Source organism: Homo sapiens, chromosome X (assembly GCF_000001405.40).
Source record: "Homo sapiens chromosome X, GRCh38.p14 Primary Assembly".
NCBI classification, from domain to species: Eukaryota; Metazoa; Chordata; class Mammalia; order Primates; family Hominidae; genus Homo; species Homo sapiens.
The window spans coordinates 109,570,488-109,588,527 of NC_000023.11; the positions used below are offsets into that span (position 1 = coordinate 109,570,488).

Here is an 18,040-nt window from a genome sequence, read left to right on the forward strand (position 1 = left end):
TTTTGGGTAAAGAAAAAACTAAAATCTGGAATTAGTTACAAGCAACAGCACCAACTTATGTGACCCTTGAGGGGTGGGGCTGTGAGCTCTTAATTTGTTTTTGATTCTGAAAATCTCTGCTTCCTGGCATCCAGGAGTTAGAGATTGAGCCTTTCATCTTCTTTCTCAAAACTAGTTTTTGATGCTTTCTTTCCTGGGAATAGTCACTTTTTAATTTTATTTAATAAACTGCATTGCTGGAACCACACACACAAAAAGTTTCAGCAAAGCCAACTTAAAAGGAGCATATATGACCAATCATTATTTTTGCTACACTTTATGCAAATAATCAGGCCAATTATGGTAAGACCAAAAGTTATTTTGCAAATAAATTGGCCCTACTATGATTCATCTTTGGTAAAAGTGGGAAACTGAAGACAGAAAAAATGTGTTTCAGAAGAAAACTATAGAACATCTGTTATTAGATTCTAACCCTGACCATTATTTTTTTGAGTTTTTATTACTTGCCTACAATTTAGACTGAATCTTGAATTCTTTCCTGGCTACAAGTCTCCAAACTAACAGTTCCACATATTTCTTCCATTTTTCCAACTGAAATTGCTACTAGGTTTGTTTTTAGGACCTGCAAACTGAAGCTCATGTATAAATGACCTTGACATACAAACTACAGACCAGAAAATCCTTTCATATTGCCACTGCCTATTTCCACTTTAATTGAGGGTTTTTCAAGTCTAACATCTAGACACCTCAACTGACTGCTCTCTAGACTCCAAGGAAACTGGTTTATAGACTATTCCAAACAATAGCTGTTTTTTGTTTGTTTGTTTGTTTGTTTGTTTGAGACGGAGTCTCGCTCTTTCGCCCAGGCTGGACTGCAGTGGCGCCATCTTGGCTCACTGCAAGCTCCGCCTCCCGGGTTCACGCCATTCTCCTGCCTCAGCCTCCGAGTAGCTGGAACTATAGGCGCCCGCCACCACGCCGGTCTAATTTTTTCTATTTTTAGTAGAGACAGGGTTTCACTGTGTTAGCCAGGATGGTCTCGATCTCCCGACCTCGTGATCCGCCTGCCTCAGCCTCCCAAAGTGCTGGGATTACAGGCGTGAGCCACCGCGCCCGGCCTAGCTGTTGTTTTTCTTCTGTTGAGAGCCGGCTTGCAATGCCATCTCCTGAAATATGACACAACTGTTTAATTGGACTGGCCTCTTCCAAGAAATAGGGGACTAGTTTAATGGGATCCTTTGTCATTCAGCTATTGACTCAATTTTTTTCTCCACAGACACCAACTCAGATTTTAGTGTGTGAAAGTCTTGGGGAAGTATCAGATAGGGGAATACTGGAGTGCAGAAAATGATCCCCCATAATATGGCACGTTGGCATGCTGAGTGTTTTTGAAAATTGAAAAGCCCAAGAAATTAGCCTCATAATCAAAGTCGTTTTAACCTTGTCTTATTCTTCCCATCGAAGGGCCAGGAAGGACTCTCTGAATTTCCTTATCTGACCAAGAAAGTTCCTTTCCAAAAGAAACACAATTGCCTTCTATGCCCACCCTGAAATCTCATCTATTTCGGAAAAGAAGAATGAGGAATAACATTTAGACATGGTTAATTAAATGAATGCCTCTCCTGATATACAGCTAATTACTATAGACTAATGTGGGCCTCCTCACTTAAATAGCTCCCTTGTTACTCAAATTGATCAGTCTCTAAAGCCTTGGATACACACTGACTTTCAACAACCCCACTCCATGGAACATAACACTCTAGAAACAAATGCTTCCAGATCTGAGGGAAACTAATAACAAATCTGTAGCTTACCAATCAATAATTGATCAGTGATGCTGCCTCACATCAGATCTTAATCGAAACGGGAATGTGAAATGTGATCTACAAAATGATGTCATTCTGGTTCAGAGATGTATAATGCAGTTGGGAAGTCACTCGAAAAAGTACTACCTGCACAACCTGCAACCTTGTAAAACAGGAACTTTCTTGAACTTTTTTTTTTTTTTTTGAGACGGAGTCTCGCGCTTGTCACCCAGGCTGGAGTGCAATGGTGCGATCTCACCTCACTGCAACCTCCACCTTCCGAGTTCAAGCTATTCTCCTGCCTCAGCCTCCCAAGTAGCTGGGATAACAGGCACCCACCACCACACCCGACTAATTTTTGTATTTTTAGTAGAGACAGGGTTTCACCATGTTAGCCAGGTTGGTCTCGAATTCCTGGCCTCCAGTGATCCTCCCGCCTCAGCCTCCCAAAGTGCTGGGATGACAGGTGTGAGCCACTGCACCCGGCCGCCTGAACTTTGAACTGGACTAAACCACCACAACCACAGTATCTTGGAAAACAGCTGAATTATCCCAGTGCTGCAACTCTTGATCAGAAACAACCAATGAACTACTCAGGCAGCCACCTCCACAAATGATAATTCTTTTGAAACAACTTGGGTAATCATCCTCATCATCCTTTTGGAAACCCCTACTTCCCTTCCTCCCTTTGGAAAACATTTTGGCTTCTAACTGAACCTGTGTCTCCTGAATTGCAATTCCTATGACCCCAATAAATGCCTTATCTTACTGCTTTGCAGTCTAGTCTTTCTTGGTTGTGTTAAAGTTGCAGATACCAGGATGAAATCACTTTTGTCCAATCCAGACAAAATAATACCAGGAAGGACCAAAGGAGGGGAGGCACATGCTTACATGTCTGAGATAAGAACCATTTTCAAGGACTTTCTAAAAACCCTTTACATATCTCCTACTTTGATGAGGCTTATCACTACACATTCTTTAGGACTGCAGTCATTCCAATAAGATGTTCTCAGAAGAACAGTTCTCCAGTAATTGCATCTCCACCAATAAACTGACAACTCTAGTACTGAACCTGGGGAACCAATGAACTCTTTTTCTATGCAGCTTATGTAAATCTTTTTTTGCTCATAAAAGCTCCCCTTCCCCTTCCCTCCCTGAAAGTACTGGTGACTTGTGATTCCATGCATTCTGGATTATGATCCCTATTTCTTTTTTTTTTCCTATTCCTATTTCTGAGTAAACCCAACATAGAGGTAATTTTCTCTAGTGTTATTTTTTTAGATTAACAATTGACATTGAAAAGAGTCTAGCTTCCTCTGTTCTTCTTTCTTGCTTCCTTTCTCACCATGTGATCTCTTAGCACATGCCCACTTCCCTTCCATTTTCTGCCATGAGTAGAAGCAGCCTGAGGCCCTAACCAGATACAGCTGCTCAATCTGGAAGCATCCAGCCACCAGAATTATGAGCCAAATAAGCCTCTTTTCTTTATAATTTACTCAGCCTCTGGTATTCTGTTATAGCAAAACTAAATGGACTAAGAGAGAAAGTTGGTGCCAAGGAGTAGGGTGTTCTTATAAATACACCTGAAAATGGGTAAGTGGCTTTGGAACTGGGCAATGGGCAGAAGTTGAGTTTGAAGGTACAAGCTAGAAAAAGAAAATATTACAGTGAAAAGAGCATTAAAGACAGTCTTGGTGGGGGCTTAGAAAATGAGCTAGAACTTATTAGGGATTGGTTAGGTGGTTGTAACCAAAATGCTTACGGAAATATGAACAGTCAAGGCCAGTAAGATGAGGTCTTGGATGGACATGAGGAATATTTATTTGGAAACTGTAACAAAGGTCATCATTTTATATAGTTGCAAAGAACTTGACTGCATTGTGTTTATGCCCTAGGGTTTTGTGGAAGGCTGAATTTAAGATTGATATAATAGCATATCTTGTGGAAGAAATTTCTAAGCAGCAAAGTGTTCAGGCTGCTGCCATGGTTACTTCTAAGTGTTTATGGTGATTTGCTGGAGAATTTGGAAACAGAACAGAAGGATTTGGAAAACTCACAACCTGGATGTGTAATAGAGAACTTTCAAAAGAGCACTTTCAAAACAGTACTTTCAAAAGAGGAATCCAAGGGAATGGCAGACTTGCTAAAGAGATTAGCATGTCTAAAAGAGTGCCAGGTGTTAACTCAAGACAATGGGTGAATAACCTGAAGACATTTTAGAACTTTAAGGCTGCCTTTCCCATCACAGGCCCAGAGACCTAGAATGATAGAATTGTATTGGAGGAGAGACTTGGAGGGCTGCTGCTCTGGTGACCTCGGGACACTGGTCTGTGCATCCTGACCACTCTGGCTGGAGCAGCCATAGCACAAGTGGCGCCACATGCAGCTCATGCCCCTGCTCCAGAAAGCACAACTGGGAAGCCTTGGCAGCATTCATGTCTACGTGGTACTCATTTTGCATGCATGCAGAATATGAGAGTAATGGAAGCATGGTGGCTTCCACCTAAATTTCAGAGTATGCATCAGAAAGCCTGGGAGCCAAGGCAGAAAGTTGTTGTAGTGCAGAGCCACTACAACAGTAGAGAGAGCCTGTACTAAGGCAATGCTAACCAGAAATGTGGAGTAGGAAATACCACAGAAGGTCCCCATGAGGGTAATGAACAATGGAGCTGCAGGGTAGGACTACAACCTGGACCCCAGAATTGTAGAGCCACCGGCAGCATGCAACCTCAGCATAGAAAAGCCGCAGTCATTTGACTCCAACCTGTGAGAGTAGCTACGTGGGCCATGTCCAGCAAAACCATGAAGGCAAGGCTGCCTGATGTCTTAGGAGTCCCCCCCTCATACCAGTCTGCCCAAGATGTAGGACATGGGGTCAAAGGAGATTATTCTGGAGTGTTAAGTTTTAATATCTGTTCCACTGGGTTGTACTTGTATGAGGCTTATCATTTCTTTCTTTTGGCCTATTTCTCGTTTGTGAAATGGGACTGTTTACCAAGTGTTTGTCCTACTGTTGTATCTTAGATGCAAATAGTTTCTTTTTACTTTCGTTTGTTTATCTGTTTATTTTTTAGAGATGGGTTCTTGCCGTGTTGCCCAGGCTGGTCTCAAACTCCTGGGCTCAAGCAATCCACCTACCTTGACCTCCGAAAGTGCTAGGATTACAGATGTGAACCACCATGCCCAGCCTACTTGTTTTTGATTTTACAAACTCATAGCTGGACTTTGGACCTTTGAGTTGGTGCTGGAACAAGTTAATACTTTTGGGACAATTGAGATAGAATGATTGTATTTTGCATGTGAGAAAGACATGCATTTTGGTGGGGCCACGGGTGGAATGCTATGATTTGGATGGGGCAGCTCCATCAGAACTTCTGTTGAAATTTGATCCCCAATGTGGTGGTACTGGAAGTGGGGCCTAGTAAGAGGTGTTTGGGTCATGGGGTTGAATCCCTCATGAATACATTCATTCCCTCCCACAGGGGTTAGTAAGTTCTCCCTCTTGCAGAAATAGATCAGTTCCCATGATATCAGCTTGTTAAAATGTCTGACTTCCTTGGTTTCTCTTTCTTGCTTCCTCTCTCACCATGTGATATCTTGGCATGAGTGGAAGCAATCTGAGGCCCTCACCAGATCCAGTTGTTCAATCTTGAACTGTCCAGCCACCAGAATCAAGAACCAAATAAATCCCTTTTCTTTGTAAATTACCCAGCCTCTGGGATTCTGTTATAGCAACACTAAATGGACTAACAATACTGCCCACTGTCAGGCCTCTGAGCCCAAGCTAAGCCATCATATCCCCTGTGACCTGCAAGTATACATCCAGATGGCCTGAAGCAACTGAAGATCCACAAAAGAAGTGAAAATAGCCAATTCCTGCCTTAACTGATGACATTCCACCATTGTGATTTGTTCCTGCCCCACCCTAACTGATCAGTTGACTTTGTGACAATACACCTTCCCCGCCCTTGCGATAATGTACTTTGTGACATTCCCCCGCCCTTGTGAATGTACTTTGTATGATACACCCTCCCCACCCTTGAGAAGGTACTTTGTAATATTCTCTCCCGCCCTTAAGAAGGTACTTTGTAATATTCTCCTCACCCTTGAGAATGTACTCTGTAAGATCCACCCCCTGCCAGCAAAAAATTGCTCCTAACTCCACTGCCTATCCCAAACCTATAAGAACTAATGATAATCCCACCACCCTTTGCTGACTCCTTTTTCAGACTCAGCCCACCTGCACCCAGGTGAAATAAACAGCCTTGTTGCTCACACAAAATCTGTTGGTGGACTCTCTTCACACGGACACACGTGACACCCACTCCCAAATGTCTGTCTTTCCCTTAAATCTCTTCTCTGAGCTCAAGTCTCATATATCCAACTGTTTGATTGCCATCTCTTCTTGGATGGATAATCGCCGTATCTAACTTAAAATGCTCAGAATTAAACCTACCATCTCCCCTTCAAACCTGCCCCTCCCCAATGTGTGGCATCACTGTTGCTCATTCAGAAACCTGGGAATCCACCTTAACACTTTCCCTTCCCTCATTTTCCACATCCAATCCATTATGAACTCCTGTCAGTTTATATCTCTACAATACATCTCAAAAATTTCTACAGGTGATCTTCCCTATTCACAGATTCTATATCTATGAATTCACCTACTTGCTAAAATTTATTTGTAAGCCCAAAATTAATTTTTCCAGCATTTTCAAGATCATTCCCAGACTAGTGCAGGGAGGTGAAAAACGTGAGTCAACTGACATTCACATTCCCAGCTGAGATGAAAAAGGGCAATGCTCTGCCTTCTTGTTTCAGCTTTCATATTGTAAAGAAGGATCTCTTCTGGAGTCTATTTAGTGCCACTTTTTTTCACATTTTTGTGCTTTGGTTAATGACTTCACCGTTTTAAATTATCCTGAAGCATAGTACTGAAGTGCCTTCTAATATTGCTAACTAAGCAAAAGAAGGCCATGATGATAGAAAACACATGTATTAGACAAGCTTCATTCAGGTGTGAGTTATAGTTATCTTGGCTATGAGTCCAATGTGGATTAATCAACAGTATATGCTAAAGCAGATATTTTAAAACAGAAACACACATAAAACAAAGTTATATATTTATCAGTTGAAAAAAAATTTGTGATCAGACGCTGGTAGAAACCTGTTTCCCAAATGGTTTGGTATTCATTAATGCCATATTCACAGCCACTTTGTAGAACATAACTACCACAAATAATGATAATCAACTATGCTTCACTCAATTTCCACAGCCTCTACCCTAGACCAAGCCACATGCAATCATCATCTCTTGTCTAAATTGCTGCAATGTCTTCTAGAATGAAATCTTTGATTCTACTCTTGTACTACTAGTGTCCATTCTCCACACATTAGCCAGAGTGCCCTTCTGAAATATTAAATCATTTTATGTTACAATACTTCCCTCACTAAACCACTGGGGGAAAGTATCCAGTTGTGCTTAGAGTGAAATACAAATTCCTTACTGTATTAGGGTTCTCCAGAGAAACAAAACCAGTAGGATAGATATGTACAAAGGGATTTATTATGGGAATTGGTCTACATGATTATGGAAGCCAAGAAGTCCCACAATTTGCTTTCTGCAAGTGGGGAACCAGGAAATCCAGTGGTGTAATTTGGTTAAGTATCAAGGCCTGAGAACCTGGGGTGGGGAGAGAGTCACTGGTATAAGTTCTGGAGTCCAAATACCCGAGAACAAGGAGCTCCTATGTCCAAGGGCAGGAGGACACAGATGTTCCAGCCCAAGAAGAGAGTGAATTTGCCCTTTTTCCACCTATTTGTTCTCTCCGGACCCTTAATGGAATAGATGATGTCCGCTTACAGTGGTGAGGGTGGATCCACTTTAGTCAGTTTACTGATTCAAATGCTAATCTCTTCCAGAAACACCCTCAAAGACACTCCCAGAACCAATGTTTTATCAGCTATCTGGATATTTCTTAACCCAGTCAAGTTGACACATAAAATTAACCATCACACTTACCATGGCCTACAAGGCCCTGCGTAATGTGGCCCCTGCTTGTCTCTGCATCATAATCTTTCTCTCTTACTCTGCTTTAGCCACACTGGGCTTACTGCTCTTTTTTTAATATACTGAGCCCAGTTGCTCCTCAGGGTCTTTGCATTTGCTCCAACCTCTGCCTAAACGTTTTGACCAGCTCCTTGAATGGCTGACTTCTCGACTTTGAGAGCTTAGCTAAAATTTCTATGTCCTCAGAGAAACCTTCTCTGACCACTCTGGCTAAAGTAACCTATCAAGTATTCATGGTTACAGCACCCTGTTTCTTTCTTCAGAAGAAGTATCACAATTCATAATTACATATTTGTTTATTAGTGTAACCCAGCAGTTGCATGCACATCAGACTCCTTCCAGATTATGTAGGCTCAGTTCACAACTTTGAAAATTTTGCTCTTACTCAGAGCCTTGAATACTCTCATATTTAGAGGATGATGGGAAATTTTGCTTGGCTGTTTCCATTAAGGAGTCTTTTAGCCAGCACCATGTCCATAGCACATGCACTCCTAGAAGTCCCCCTTTTTACCTCCCTCTTGTCTTCCTTTTTAACCCCTTTCCCCTCATTTCATCATGCAATTATATCCTGTGCTTGAAATAGTCCCATTTTTACTCCCTCTTCAACTTCTGTGAAAAGATAACAGTTTTGAGATAGGAAGTTATAGTTTTATTTTTTCCTCATTTCCCCTATTTCCCTTCTCTGTTTATTTAAGCAAGTAGTCAACCTTATGCCCCTATGTTTCAGGGAAAAAATGGGTCAGAGTGCTTTTCCTGACTCCCATTATTATGTCAGGCTGCCAGGGAAATCTTCAACTTAGAATTCGCCTTTCAATTTAGCCAACTGCAGCTGAGGCTGTCATCCCACATTGAGCTGCTTCCAACACAAGGCAGTTTAGGCTTCCCTCTGAATGTCAAGAAATAATGAGTAAAGCTAGTGGCATCCTCTTGCCAGTGTGAGGTGACAGAATTCCACCAGTGTATTACATAGGATCCTTGGGATCTCTTCCAAAAAGTCTTCTTCATGGAAAATATTTTCCAGTGAATGCATCCAGTCCATTTGAAAATTTTTTTCTTGAATATCCTTGATTATTTAGAGCCAAACAGCAACCAGTTAACTAGTTCTAGCATTTGCTCTATTCCCCAAAGCACTGCCCTTAGCACTCTGGAACTTTATTTCTTAGGCTATAATATCTGCTGCTATACTATATCTAAGGGACACCATAGTATCCTACAAATGGACTGTTCATTAGTGATAGTTTTTGCCATTCCCATGAGAACTTTCTTATGCCAGTAGAGTAAGTTCACATATTCTTTACCACCAACAAGGCTACTTCTTTCCTTCCCACTACTGAATACAACTCAAATATTATCCACTGAGCTTTGCACTAATTCTCTATCCTCATTTGGTGAAATAGTGGTCAGTTTAGGATTAAAGATTTCATGGCTGAAACTTTTAGCAAAGCCTTTCAAGATAGTATCTGTGTGTAGTATAAAGGCCATATTTGAATCCTCAAAAGGCTAAAATGTCCATTGACTAGTTGGTCTGTCGGCATCATGCAGTCTGCCCACACCTAGAATTTTTACACCTGTACAAATCAATTGTACACAGGAACTGGGGCAATGTGGCAGAAACTGATAGTTACCACCCTCACTCCCACCCCACCTTCTGAATATATCCACTCTTCACTTCTTTCTTTAAATATAGAAACCTTAAGTTTTACTTGTCTTCTCAGATGAAGACTACATTTCCCAACCTCCCTTGCACCTAGGTTAAGGTCATGTTACTGGAATGAAGGCAGAGGTGATGTATTCAAACTTCTGAAAAGCAGCTTTAAGAGGAAGAGATATATGGATATGACGGTAAGAGCTGGAGAAGCCATCTTAGATCACAGGAGGGAAACTGTGTCTTAGAACACTTTATCTCCATTTCCCCTCATTTTGACTTTTGTTTCTGTCATCATGCACTGTTAATTTGACATATACTTGGAATCTCACAAGATATTATTTTTATGGTTTTATAAGTTGATATTAATTTGGATTTATCATTTTCATTACTATTTATCCTTCCTGCATTTCTGTTTCCATTTAGGAAAATTTTCCTTCTATCAAAGAATAGCCTTTACTATTTTTGTTGTTGCTATTGTTGAGATAGAGTCTCACTCTGTCGCCCAAGCTGGAGTGTAGTGATCTCGGCTCGCTGCAACCTCCTCCTCCCAGGTTCAAGTGATCCTCCCGCCTCAGCCTCCCTAGTAGCTGAGACTACAGGCACGTGCCACCATGCCTGGCTAACTTTTGTATTTTTAGTAGAGACAGGGTTTCACCATGTTGGCCAGGCTGGTCTCTAACTCCTGACCTCAGGTGATCCACCTGCCTTGGCCTCCCAAAGTGCTGGGATTACAGGCATGAGCCAATGCACCCGGCCCTAGTATTTCTTTTAGCCTGGATCTGCTAGTGACAAATTCCCTCGGGTTTTGTTTGTTTGGAGAAGTCTTTATTTTACCTTCCTTTTTAAAGAGTATTTGACTATATATATTATAGAATTCAAGGTTGGCAGTTATTTTTCAGTACTAAAGGTAGCACTTTGTCTTCTGGCTTCCATTATTTCTTTTGAGAAGTCAGCCAATATCTTATTATTGCTCCTTTGAATGTAATGTGTCTTTTTTCCTCTAGATGCTTTAAAATTTTTTTTTAGTTTTCAGAAATTTGAATATGATGTACCTAGGTTTGATCCAGATTCTCACCCTTTTGCTGTACAGCAAGAGTTAGCAAATGCCTTAAGAGTTAAAGCAGTGGGTCAGGTTTCTGTGGTCGCCTTTTCTCTAACTTCTTGGATTCTCAAAACCTGACTATTTTGACAGCTTTTGATGCCTCCATATAGATTGCTTTTCTAGTAGTTCCAGTTGACTCACTCATTTAAATCAGACGTGCTGGATCTGAACACATCTGTGCCCACTACCTCAATGACGCCCGCTGTCACTTTCAAGAACTTCAGGCTGAATCACCTTCTGCCAGATATGGAAGACTCTATACTCACCGCAATGTTCAATCTTGTCTGCTCCTCTAAGGGACTGTCGGCTCACACGATAACCAAAACATAATAGTTATTGGAGACTCACTCTATGGCTCATCTTGGCACAAACCTTCCACCGTTCCACCACACCAGTGGTTCTCAACCCTGGCTGTACATTAGAATCATCTGGAAAGCTGTTTAAACATATCAATGGTGGACTCCTTTCAAAGACTCTGAATTAATTGGTCTAGGCTGAATATCCTCACCTGTGGTCCCACTGGCCTCAGGGAGAAAGACCGCAGTTGTGGGGAAGAAGTTGGACTGCACCTGAGGAATTGTACCCATTATTTCTTTTTTCATTTTTCTTCTTTTTTTGAGACAAGGTCTTACTCTGTTGTTGAGGCTGGAGTGCAGTGGCATGATCATGGGTCACTGTGGCCTGTATAAAATAATAAAACAAATGTCTCATTTTGGTTTTATAAAAAGAAGCAAATTGCAAATCAGGAGACTGTGATCAATTAAAGTGTTCTAAGGTCTTTCTGTTGATTGGGATGGGGTGAAAATATTACCTAATTTTAGCCTTTTTTGAGGTAAATATGCCTGGTAAAATTTTGGAACTAACCACTAAAAGAACAGAAATTGAATATAAATTCCAAACCAATAGAGGAAAAAATAATTTTAAATGAACAATAATAGCAATAAAATCAATCCCTCTGAACAAGGTGAGAGGAGAAAAGGAAGGATGAACATAAAAAATTACAGCTCAAATACTTGGATAACCACAATAAATACAAATGGACTTAATTCACTAGGTAAAAGAGATTGTCAAACTGAATTTAATTTTTTAAATGCAGTTATGTGCTATTTGCAAAAGACCCATCTGAACTAAAATAACACGGAAAAGTTGAAGATTAAACAGCTAGGAAAATATATACCAAACAAATACTAACAAAAAGAAAACTGGAATTGCTATGTTAATATTCAAAAAACTAGACACTAGGACAAGAAGCAGTATTAGGGATACAGGGGACCACTACATAATTATAAAAGATTAAATTCACTAGGAAGATATAGCAATCCGAAACCTATTCATATATCAAATTAAGTAGTTTTGAAATATATGAAACAAAATTGATAAAATTACAGGAAGAAATGGACAAATCCACCATCAAAGTGGAAAATTTCGTGCTACCTCTCTCAATTATTAATTCAAAAAGACAAAGAATCAGTAAAGATATAAGATTTGAAGAACACAATTAACAAGGTTAATATCATAAACATATATTAAACACATGAATTTTTTAAAAATTATGTACAAGACATTTTCAACAACCCCCAAAATAAGTATCATACAGATCACATTCTTTGACCATCAAACTATTCATTTAGAAATCAATAACAATAGAAAAACATCTCCCATTAATTTGGAAAATGTTTTTATTCTAGATAATTCATAGATCAAAGAACAAACGTCTTTAGATTTTAGAGAAATATACATCAAAGCCACAATGAGATGCCACTTCATACCCATTAGTATGACTATAATAAAGAAAAGACACAATAACAAGTGATAGTGAAAATGTGGAGAAATTAGAAGCCTCATACATTGCTATTTCTGCAGGAAGTTTGGAAAAGGGTTTGGCAATTTCTCCAAGTGTCATGATAGAGTTACCATATGACTCAGTAATACCAATCTTAGGTGTATGCGTAGGAGAATTGAAAACATGTCCACAAAAATACTTACACACAAATGTTCATAGCAGCATTATTCATTTAACAGCATAAGGTTCAAAATAACCCAAATGTCTATCAACTAATGAATAAATAAATTAAATATTGTATATCCATATATTGGGATATTATTTAGCCATAAAAAGAAATTAAATCATGGCTCTAAGTCTTATTTTGGACCACAGCATCTTATCGGTACCAATATGTAAGTGCTGCCTATAACCAGTGAAGGACCCTTGATATATCTTATCAAGCTCAGCCCGTGTGTGTGTGCGTGTATGTGTGTGTGTTTATGTATAAACACACACACATGTATCTCACAGCTAATTGGAGGAGAGAGGGGTAGAGCCAGTATGCTTACTAAATCATATTAATATTTAGGATCAACACATTCAGATTCAGTAACTATTCAAACCCTGAGCTTTCACAGATCAATGATGCTTGCTCCCGCAGCAGGGATATTTGAGTCCTTCCACTTTCCTTAACACTGCAAGATTGATGATCTGGACAGAAACTCTTGACTTCATTATAAAGATAGCCCTCATAGCAGATCCAATCCATAGTGAAGGGCTATGACATCACTGAGGAAAGAGAGAGAGCACATTACGCCCACAAACGGACTGAGGTAATGTGACTTTCTACTCTTATCCTAAAGAATGTGTTTGTGTGGTATGTGAATTCATATAAAGTTTTACTTTAGGTAGACTAGGTAATTTTATATTGGACAACATTTTGTTACATTGAATAATAGTATAATAATTATAATTTGAAAGACTATCTCTAATTGGTTTAACTTAATTACATCAAAATGTTGAGTGAATGTAGTAGGTAATAGACCTACCTACTTAAGGTATTAGACCCCATAACTTTGAATGCTGAGTATACAGGTGTCTTCAGTTTGTAAAAATTCATGGCGCCATATCCTTATGGTTTGTGTACTTTTGTATCTATGTTCTACTTTAACAAAAATTGTATGTGTGTGTATATATATACATATACACACACATATATATACACACACATATACGTATATATGTATATATACACATGTATATATATACCAACGCACATAGATTTGGAAATATATATAGGTATATGTATTTATGTGTGCGCATATTATATCCTTTTCCCAAACTAAGCAAAAAGCCTAGATGATTTTAAACGTTCGTTCTATCAAACTTTGAAGAAACAGGCTATCTAACTTTATACAAAGTCTTCCAGAGAATAGAAAAAGGGGAGAATCTACTCCAACTCATTCTATGAGGTAGGTATAACTTTGATGTCAAAACCAAATTAAGGCTGAATGAGAAGGACAATTATAAGTCATTCTTCCTCATGAGTATAAAGGCAAACATTGTAAACATAGATATTAGCAAACTGAGTGTAGCAGTTGATAAAAAAGATAATATACCATAAGCAAATTGAGTTATCCCAGCAATTCAAGAGTAGTTTAATGATAGGAAATCTATAAAATGTTATTCATGCTAAAAACTGACTGAAAGAAAAATAAATCATGATGAATTCAATAAGAGCAGGAAGAAATGTTTCATAAAGTTCAGTACATACTCATGATAAAAAGTCTTAGCAAACTGGAAAAAATAACTTTCTTAATGTGGTAAAGATTATCTACTAAAGACAAAAACAAAACAAGACCAACAGCAAAGTTTATTCTTCATAGGGAAATGGTGGAAGCATTTTGTTCAAATCGGAAACATGACATGGATGCCTTCAGTCACTGTTTCTATTCAACATTATACTGGAGGATCAAGTCAGTAAAGTAAAATAAGAAAAAGAAATTAACTGTATGGCCCGGGTTGGTGGCTCATGCCTGTAATCCCAGCACTTTGGGAGGCTGAGGTGGGTGGATCACTTGAGGTCAGGAGTTCAAGACCAGCCTGGCCAACATGGTGAAACCCTGTCTCTACTAAAAATAAAAAAAAATAGCCAGGTATTGTAGCATGCACCTGTAATCCCAGCTACTCAGGAGGCTGAGGCAGAAGAATAGCTTGAACCTGGGAGGCAGAGGCTGCAGTGAGCAGAGATCATGCCACTGCACTCCAGCCTGGGTGACAAAGCAAGACTCTGAAAAAAAGAAAGAAGAAAGAAAGAAGGAGAGAAAGAAAGAGAAAGAAAGAAGAAATTAACTGTATGCATTAGATAGGAATAAACTAAGACATAATTATTTGTGGATAGCACAACCATCTTCATTAAAGCAACCCTAAACAAGTTGCAAGTGAGTATAAATTATAAGAGATTGAGCAAGATGACCTGCTATAAAAGCAATATTCAAAAATCATTTGCATCTCTATGTCAGCACCAAAGAATTAGAAAATTAGTATTTTAAAAAACACCATTTGCAATAGCAATGAAAACTACAAGGTACCTATGTCACAGGATCCTTGGGGTGTCACTTTGCCAGCTGGAAACCTCTGTGGCCAGTGGCACCTTCTGCCTGAGTATTATTCATGCCCACTGGGCTTGTTCCCCCCACTTTGCCCAGCAGACTGGACTGGACTTGTGCTACCGGCCTGGATCCCACACCTGTCAAGGGCAAGCCAGGCACGGAGCAGTGAGGGGTGTGTGGGCCAGCAAGCGCTGGGTCTGGCCACTGTACACAGCCAGGCATTCTGGCTGCTACAGCGCGATGGGTAGCTCCAGGTGCCTGCACAGGTGCTGGCTCCACATGAGGCTGCAGATGGACCAGATGTACTGCATGCGGCTTCCGCTGTGACCATCTGCATCTAGATGAGGGGAATGCAGTGACACTATGAAGCTTGGAGATGCCAGGAACTGCACAGCCCCAACAGAGGTGTCACAGCACTGGTTTGGGGAGTCCCTAGGTCTAGGCTCCTCAAAGATGCTGCAGCTCTTCTCTCCCTCTCATTGCCTGCAACATGGTAAGTGGGGGGGTGCAGTGTTTCAGCCCTGTCGGTGTTACAGCTCTTTCAGTCCTGCCATTAGGTGGGTCCCAAGTTCTTGTTCCACATCCAGGAAGAATTGAGGTACATGGAAAACTGGAGGGTGAGCAAGGCAGAGAGGCGTTTCATTGAGCAACAGAACAGCTCTCAGGAAACTCACAGTGGGTAGCTCCTTTATGAAAGCAAGTCATCCTGATGTCTGTTCAAGTCTGGCTGAGTCTGGGGGTTTGTATGGGCTTGGAAGGGAGGAAGTGCAGGCTGATTGGTCCATGGGCAGCCATGGGTGGCCAGGAAAAAGTACCATAAGTTCTCACTGTGGTCTGCAGACTCCACCAGGAACTGACAGCCCAGCCCCCATGCTTCATGCCCTCCCTGGCTTGAAGGTGGGGCTTCACTGAGGACCCACACTGTTCCGCCCGGGACACTGTCTGCCTCCTGACACCATCCACATGCCATCCGCAGTGCCCAGGCTGTTCATGGCAAGGGGCACTTGCAGGCCTGTGCTAAGCTGCCCTCAACAGCGCCCCACCCACCTCCCTCCTGTTCTCATTGGCACCCAAAGTCCAAAGGGGGCTGAGGTGGCAGGGGGCTGGCATGTCAGCACTGCCCCAAGTGCACACACACCCAGCCAGGTCGCAATAGTGCTGGGGCTTGGCCACAACTTTGCCCAGAGCAAGCACTGGGAGTGGGCAGAGGCCAGACAGCAGGAGCAGGCACTTCCGAGCCTGCAGGGGCAGGGGCTTCCTGGACCCTAGAGAGTACAGGGATGCCTGGGTCCAAAGCCACGGCTGGGAGGCTGCAGATGTGCCTGGGAATGCGGGGCTCCCACTCAGACAACTTGGTAGGGAGCAGTACTCCTGCCTGTTCCTGGATCTCACCAGCCCCACAGAACAGGTAACCCCACCCGTGCCTCCCCTGCTGCAGCCAGCATCTTCGCAGCAGCCACTGCACATGGGCTGCTGCTGCCATCACCTAGGACTAAATTTAACAAAAGAGTGTAAGATTCAATCAAGAAGAGTAAATAACTTTATAAAAAGACATTAATAAGCTCTAAATAAATGTGACAATGTATCATGTTCATAATTAGGCACACTCAATACCAATTCTTCTCAAATTAATCTCTAGAGTCAATGAAATTTCAATTCAAATTTCAACAGGGCTTTTCATTGAATTTGGCAACAAATTTTAAAATTTATATAGGAGAACAGAGTGCCAAGAATAGTGAAGACTATTCCTGAAAGAAAAAGAATCAAGTAGGGAGATTTGCCTGAACAAATATTGAGACTTAATATAAAGCCATAGGGGCATATGTTCTCAGGACCTCCGTCATGGAAAAAAAAAAAAGCTACAGTAAATAAGACAATATGCTATTGAGGCAGGGGTTTACCAATGGACTAATGGAACAAAATGGGGGCTCAGAAATAGATCCATAAATATATGGAACTGTGACATATCAGAGATCACTGCAGATCATTGAGGAAGGAGTGACTATTCAATAACTGGTTCTGGGACAGGTGATTATCCATATGCCAAAAACAATTAGATCCCTATTATACACCATACATAAAATAAAGTCCAGATGGACTGAAGACTTAAATGTGAAAAGCAAAATTTTTAAACTTTTAGAAGAAAACATAAGAGAATATCTTGTTGACTTTAATGTAGTAAAGGATTTTTTGAACAAGGCTGAAAAAGCACTAACCATAAAAATAAAGACTGACTAATTAGACTACATTAACATTTTGAATTTCTGTTTGACAAAAGGCATCATAAAGAAAATGGAGAGACAAGCTACAAACGTGGAGGAGGTATTTACAACATAACCAAAAAAAGATTCCTATCCAAAAATATAAATATAAATAATTCCTACAGATTTTTTTAAATGTAAAAATGGGCATAGGCCATGAACATTCATTTTACAGAAGAAACACAAATGGTCAATAAGCATATGAAAAGATGCCAAACTTCATGAATAATCAGGAAAATGCAAATTAAGACCACAAGGAGACAATACTTTATGCCCATGGAAAAAATGAACATGTCTGATAATACCAAATGTTGATGAGGATGTGGATCAATAGGAACTCATACATTGCAGGTGTGATTGTCAATGGGTACAACCACTTTGGGAAACAATTTGCCTTTATATTTGCATACCCTACAATCCAGTAATTTTACTCCTTGGACTGTTCTCTTGCACATGTGCACCAGGAGTCAAAAACAAGAATATTCATAGAAGTACTGTTCATAATAGCAAATATTTGGTGGCAAACAAATGCTCATAAACAAGAAAATGGATTAATATATTATGAAATATCATATGGTAGTAAAAATATAATACAGTTACATTAAGCAACATGGATGGTGTGGATAAATCCTAGAAACATTATGTTCCGGACAAAAGAAATCCAAGAAGACCATATGCAGTAGAATATCATTTTTATAAACCTCTTAAATATTATATAGACATTCACATTTATGTAATAAAGCTATTCCTTAAGGCAAGGGTACAATAAACGCAAAA

The 18,040-nt window shown here is 40.3% G+C and overlaps 1 annotated feature.

Annotated features, from left to right (window-relative positions):
* Positions 15,697-16,666: an enhancer, noted in NCBI's record as "H3K4me1 hESC enhancer chrX:108829413-108830382 (GRCh37/hg19 assembly coordinates)". NCBI's record gives its function as "activates a minimal SCP1, AML or CMV promoter by ChIP-STARR-seq in naive H9 embryonic stem cells {active_cell/tissue: H9 hESC(naive)}" and the evidence as "EXISTENCE:reporter gene assay evidence [ECO:0000049][PMID:30033119]".